Below are 6,834 nucleotides of genomic sequence, written 5' to 3' on the forward strand. Positions count from 1 at the left end.
TGAGCAATAAAGAGATTTTGTACTGTCCTGACTGGGGAGTCCCAGGCCGCCGGGGATGGAGCGCCCCTGGGGTACACACCCGGCTGGCCCGGCGTCTGGGCGCGGTGGTGGGAGGCCCTGACCTAGGGGGACCACGGGGTGTGGGGAGTGCGGAGCCCCACTGGGGGCGGGGCGAGGTGTCCGTAGGCCCCGCCCACCAGCCCTTCCTCCCTCCTGAGGCCCCGCCCCCCATATCTGCCTGCCTTTGCCAGCCCCAGCCAGGAGAAGGGAGTGGCGGAGCGGCTGGCAGATACAGAGGAGGGTGTGACGGCGTTGCTGGTCCCCCATGGGTCCAGAGGGCAAGACAGACTCCCGAGGCACACCCTCCAGGGGCCTGTGTAGGCATCCTCGGCCCTCCAGCGACCATCCCCGCGTCGGACAGGGTCCACTTCCGAGCCACGGTGGGGTCACCCTGTGCCCAGTAGGGGCCTTGGAAGTGGTGGTTGGAGGCCAGGTACGCTCGGTTACTACCCTTTCCCGGCTACAGCCTCAGCTGCGATGCCCACGAGAAACAGGCTGGTGGAGGGGCAGACCCCCTACAAGGCCTGAAGTTGCCGTTCCTCCACCCACTCCTCTTGTGGGCACAGGAGAGGGACAACCCCGCCATGAAGAGCTCTGAACGGTTGGGTGAGGACAAGTAGGGGCCGTGGGAGGGCCATGGAGCCCCCAGCTGCACCCCAGCAGGCCCGGGGCTGGCCCACACCATTCCTCACTCCCCACAGCCTCTCCACCCCTGATTTTGGCGAGACCCTCGTCCGTACCTCCAGGCTCCATGTCTGCCTCAGCATCGCTCTATGGATTCTCCCAGCCCTAAACTGGCCCCATCTCTCCTCTCTGCCCTCATGTGAGTTTGGTTTTTGAAGCCTCTAGTGGTCCCTGGGGCCAGACTCTGTGGCCTTGGACAGGGAGTCTCCCATGTAAGCCACAGGTTCCTTCTCTGTTGAGTGTGTGAGGGAACATGTTGGAGCCCTTAGTGTGGCGGCAGCAAGTGCCCCAGGTCCTGTAAGAAACACAAAAGGGTGCGGCGGGAGACTTGACATTTTCTAAATCTGGGAGGGAACGCTGCCTTCCTCACGCCGAACTTCAGTGAAAAGCAGACTCAGAAGCGGTCCCAAGGTGCCACTGTAAGCTGGGTGAAGGCCAGCGCTGTGTGCTTCCAGTTCCCCCTCGGCATCTGTAGACTGAGTGTTCTCTGGAGGTGGCTGGCTGTCGACATCCTCCAGGCAGCCTCCAGCAAAACCAGTCGGAGTTGGGCAACCTGACGCTCAGATGATTCACCTCTGAATGGAGGGCAAGGTGATATTTGGAAGGGTGTGGGCCCCTGGGATGCTGGGCAAACGGGCAGCGGGTGCCTGGATAGTGGGCCTACAGCTCTTCCCAGTTTCGAGTCAATTCCAATGTCCATGATGCCAAGGAACAGAGGCTCTGATGTTGAGCAGACTTGAAGGTGATCCAGGCACATGGAGTGGCCACTCAGGGGCGTGGCTCCTGGCTGTGCTCTTCCTATATGGGCATTTCCCATGAGAAGGCTTCACAGGCCACCTGGCTGCTCCTGGCACACGGAGAATGCCCAGATGCTGACATGTGCCAGACAACACACGTACACCTGATAGGCCACACACATGCAACATGCAAACACACGTGACGGGTAACACCTGTGACAGACACTACATGACAACACACGTGCACACATGATGGGAAACACATATCACAGGCCGTGCGACGTGAAACACACATCACAGGCTGTGCGATGGGAAACACAGCGCAGGCAGTGCGACGGGCCCTGGCAGCAAGCTCAGCAGGCTGGCTCTTTTCGAGCAGGAGAAGAGCTCATTGCAAGAGATGACACTGGCGTAGGTGGCACCTCCCCTGTCTCCATCAACCCCAGATAAGGTGACTGGGTGGAGGTTCTGGACCCCTGAGTGGACGAGAAGCTTGTGTAATGGCCTCCGTGTCTGATTGCACCCTCGCTCCTAAAGCACCTCTGATTTTGGCCATGTGCACTGTGGGGATTTTTCTTTTTCTTTTCTTTTTCTTTCTTTTTTTTTTTTTTGCAAAGGAGTTTCATTCTTGTTGCCTAAGCTGGAGTGCAATGGCGTGATCTCAGCTCACTGCAACCTCCGTCTCCTGGGTTCAAGCGATTCTCCTACCTCAGCCTCCCGAGTAGCGGGGATTACAGGCGCCCACCACCAAGCCAGGCTAATTTTTTTGTATTTTCAGCAGAGACGAAGTTTCACCATGTTGGCCAAGCTGGTCTCAAACTCCTGACCTCAGGTGATCCACCTGCCTCGGCATCCCAAAGTGCTGGGATTACAGACGTGAGCCATCACACCCGGCTGGGATTTTTCAATTATGTGATTCCAAGAATCTCCAGTCCAAGATTTTCCCTATCTTTAAGTTCTCAGTAGCAGGTTAGATAACCTGAGAAGTCTCCCTCTTCAAAACACCTAGGAATGCTGGGTAAGAAACAAATGTCCTTTTAACTATAGAGCTGAGGCCGGGCATGGTAGTTCACGCCTGTAATTCCACAACATTGGGAGGCTGAGGTGGGCGGATCACCTGAGGCCAGGAGTTCGAGACCAGCCTGGCCAACGGTGAAACCCCATCTCTACTAAAAATACAAAAATCAGCCAGGAGTGGTGGCAGGGGCTTGTAGTCTCAGCTACTTAGGAGGCTGAAGCAGAAGAATCGCTTAAACCCGGAAGGCAGAAGTTGCAGTGAGCCAAGATCACGCCATTACACTCCAGCCTGGGCAAAAGAGCGAAACTCCATCTCAAAAAATATATAAATAAAATAAAATAAAATAAAATAAATATATAGCTGAGTTCTTCAGAAAATAAGTTAAGTCCCCTAAGGCCAGAAGTGAAGACGGGAGTGAGAACCAAGGTGGGGACAGAGGAGCTGGTGCTGCAACTGCCTGAGGGCAGGGCTGGGTTGAGCGTTGGAAGTCCTTACAAGGCAGGGGGTCAGGGTTACAGTCAAGCATGATGAAGTTGGGGCCACAGAAATGCAACACCTTTAGAGAAAGGAACAGAAACATTTCCACCCAGGGGAACAGAGAGAGGTGAGAAAATTTGAGCTTTAGGTGTTGAACAAGTTTCCCATGAGATCGTTGCGTTTTCAGGCCTCTCTTATGTAAATGTGGAACTCCTACAATGAAGTCATGCTACCTGTGTGGTCTAGGAATGCAAGAGTTGAGAAATTAACACTAAAAAGTTGCTTTGGGCCGGGCGTGGTGGCTCACGCCTGTAATCCCAGGTCTTCGGGAAGCTGAGGCAGGTGAATCACCTGAGGTCAGGAGTTCGAGACCAGCCTGGCCAACACGGTGAAACCCCGTCTCCACTAAAAATACAAAAAATTAGCCACGCCTCGTGTGCGTGTAATCCCAGCTTCTCGGGAGGCTGAGGCAGGAGAATAGCTTGAACCTGGGAGGCAGAGGTTGCAGTGAGCTGAGATTGCGCCACTGCACTCCAGCCTGGGCAACAAGAGTGAAACTCTGTCTCAAAAAAAAAAAGTTGCCTTGGCTTAGTGGTACCCTGGGGCTCCTGGAAAGGCCAAATAGAAAACCTCTCTAGGTGGCTCCCTCAAACCTGGCCACCCAGGATTCCCCACATAAAGCCCCTCTGAAGCTGAGCTCACGATCCAAAATTACAGAACGCACAGGAAACACGTCACCGCCAGAAAAGGCAACAGAAATACAAAAGAGCAGGATTCGACACCCGCTCCAAATACCCCCAGCTAGGAGAGAGAAGCTGTCCAACAGGTATGTGAGATAGGTAGCTTCTATAAGGGCTGCCAGCGATCTCCCACCCTTGACTCTTCACAGCTTTGTGTAATTTCCATCCCTTGATTGTGGGCTGGACCTAGTGAGTTTCTTTTAACCAACTGAATTCTTATTTTACTTATTTTATTTTATTTTATTTTATTTTATTTTATTTTATTTTATTTTATTTTATTTTACTTAGAGATAGAGTTGCACTGTACTGTCCATTCTAGGCTGAAACTCCTGGCCTTAAGCAGTCTTTCTGCCTCGGCCTCCCAAAGTGCCAGGATTATAAGCATGAGCCACTGCGCTCAGCAGCCTTCGCATTTATTTATTTTTGAGACTCGCTGTATCGCCCAGGCTGGAGTGCAATGGCACGATCTCGGCTCACTGCAACCTCCACCTCCCAGGTTCAAGCGATTCTCCTACCTCAGGCTTCCAAGTAGCTGAGATTACAGGCGCCTACCACCACGCCTGGCTAATTTTTGTATTTTTAGTAGAGACTGGGTTTCAGCATGTTGGCCAGGCTGGTCTCGAACTCCTGGCCTCAGGTGATCTGCCCGCCTCGGCCTCCCAAAGTGCTGGGATTACAGGCGTGAGCCACTGAACCTGGCCAACCAACTGAATGCTAAACTGGCCTGAGAGATTCTCACTCCCTGGTGTCCACACCCCGCTAATGCCCTCCTGTGAGTGAATGTGATGGGCTACAGTACTTTTGAGCTAATCAAATGGGACGATACCTAATGGACCTGAACCAGTCAGGCAAGTCTTTTAAAAGAAAGGGACATGGCAGAGAGGCGCTCTTCTGCAGGCTTGGAGTAGGGCAAGTGGCCATGGTGCCACCTACAAGGGGGCCCCTGGAAGCCGAGAGTGGTCCCCGATGGCAGCTTGCAAGAAAACAGGGACCTCAGTGCCCCAACGTAGGGAACAGCCCCTCTCCCCCGCCGGCTCTTAGGACCCCCATCGCAGGGGGTGAGGCATCCCCCGCAATGCGGGGAGTAAGAGCCAGCCCCTTTTCCCCTCCTGGTTTTTAGGATCCGCGGTGGACTCACAGCCTCTTTACCGTATTGTGAGCAATATCATCTCCAACTCTGGAGATTATGAACTGTTTCAGAGACAGGTGTACACCCTCGGTGTACAGAGGGTGTACACCCGTCTGTATTGGGAGTAATATCATCCTCTTCCTCCCTGAATATTAAGAAGAGTATCACAGGGGTGTTTCCACTCCCTCGGATATCGCGTGTCATATCCTCCTCTCCCACGCTGCAATTAGAAACAGTATCAGTGGGGGCGTGTCCACCTTCTGTGATATTGAAAGTAATATCATCCTCTTCCCTCCAGGATCATGGGAACAATATCCCTGGGGGGTGTCCACTTTCTGCCATATATGTAGTCATATCAACCCCTCCGCCTTGAAATATTATGAAGGACCATCTCACACGGGAGTGTATACTTCCTGCGATATTGGGAGTAATATCAACCTCTCGGCCTCTGAATATTAGGAAGAATATCACAGGGTGGGTGTACACCTCCTGCTCTATTATGGGGAGTCATATCTATCTATTATGGGGAGTAATATCATCCTCTCCCTTTCAGGATATTAATAACAATTTCACAGGCTGGGTGAACACAGCCTGCGATGCTGGAATTATTATCACCCTCTCTCCCTCGGGATACTAGGAAGAATATCACAGAAGAGGTGTACACTCCCTGCGATATTGGGAGTAATATCATATGCTTCTTCCGTGAATATTAGGAGCAATATAACCGCGTGGCTGTACATTGATTGCTATGTTGGCAGTCATGTCATACTCTACCCGCTGGGTATTAGGATCGGTGTCACAGGGTGAGCGTACACCTACTGCGATATGAAAACTAATATCATGCTCTCCATCCCTGGATATTAGGAACAATATCACAGGTAGGTGTACACCCCCTGCGGTATTAGCAGTAATAATATTCTGAATTATTAAACATCAGTCTTATTAATAATTATCAATGGTAATATTAATTAACAGTATAACGTTATTAATCATTAATGATTATTTTCCAAATATGATTATGCATGATTAAAATTAATTATTAATATTTATGTCACTTTTAATATTAGTTATTAATCTTAATATTAATTATTGTTTTATTACCAACATCACTTATGATTGATTGAAGTAACATTAATTAGTGATATCATTATTTTATTATTAATAGTGATATTGCTATTAATTATTAATAGTAACCGTTAATATTTTTCATCCGTACTGTTTTAATGTCTCTACTGTAATTATTAATATTGATGAATACTATTAATTGTTATTATATCCATTAGTATTAATAATTAATAGAACTGTTCCCGATATCCGTGGGGGAGAGGATATTACTCCCAATATTGCAGAAAGTGTACACCTCTCTATGATGTTACTCCTAATAGCCGGGAGGTAGAGGATGACATTATTGAAAATAGTGCAGTGGGTGTACATCCCTTCGGTTATCTTGTTCCTAATATCCTGGGTGGGAGCGGATGATAAGACTCCCAATATCGCAGGGGGCGGAGACCTCCCCCGTGATACTGACCCTAACATCCAAAGGTGGAGAGGATGATATTTCTTCCAATTTCGCCGGGGGTGCACACCAACCTTGTGATATTGATCCTAATATTCAGGCGGCGAAAGGAGGATATTAGTCTGAATATTGCAGGATGTGTACACTCCCTAGGGATATTGTTCCTAATATCCAGGGACGGAGAGGATGATATCACTCCCAATATAGCCGGGGTTGTACACCCCTTGTGTGACATTGCTCCTAAAGTGCAGCGGGGGAGAGGAAGATATTACAGCCAATATCGCAGGGGGTGTACACCCCCTTGTGACATTCTTTCTTCTATCCTGGGAAGGAGAGGAAGATACTAGCGGCAATGTCGCAGGGGCTGTACACACCCGCTGTGATATTGTTCCGAATATCCGGAGGGGAAGAAAATGATGTTACTTCCAATATCGCAGGGGGTGTACATCCTCCTGTGATATTGTTTCTTATAT

The sequence above is a fragment of the Homo sapiens genome, chromosome 4 (assembly GCF_000001405.40).
Source record: "Homo sapiens chromosome 4, GRCh38.p14 Primary Assembly".
In the NCBI taxonomy this organism is placed as follows: Eukaryota; Metazoa; Chordata; class Mammalia; order Primates; family Hominidae; genus Homo; species Homo sapiens.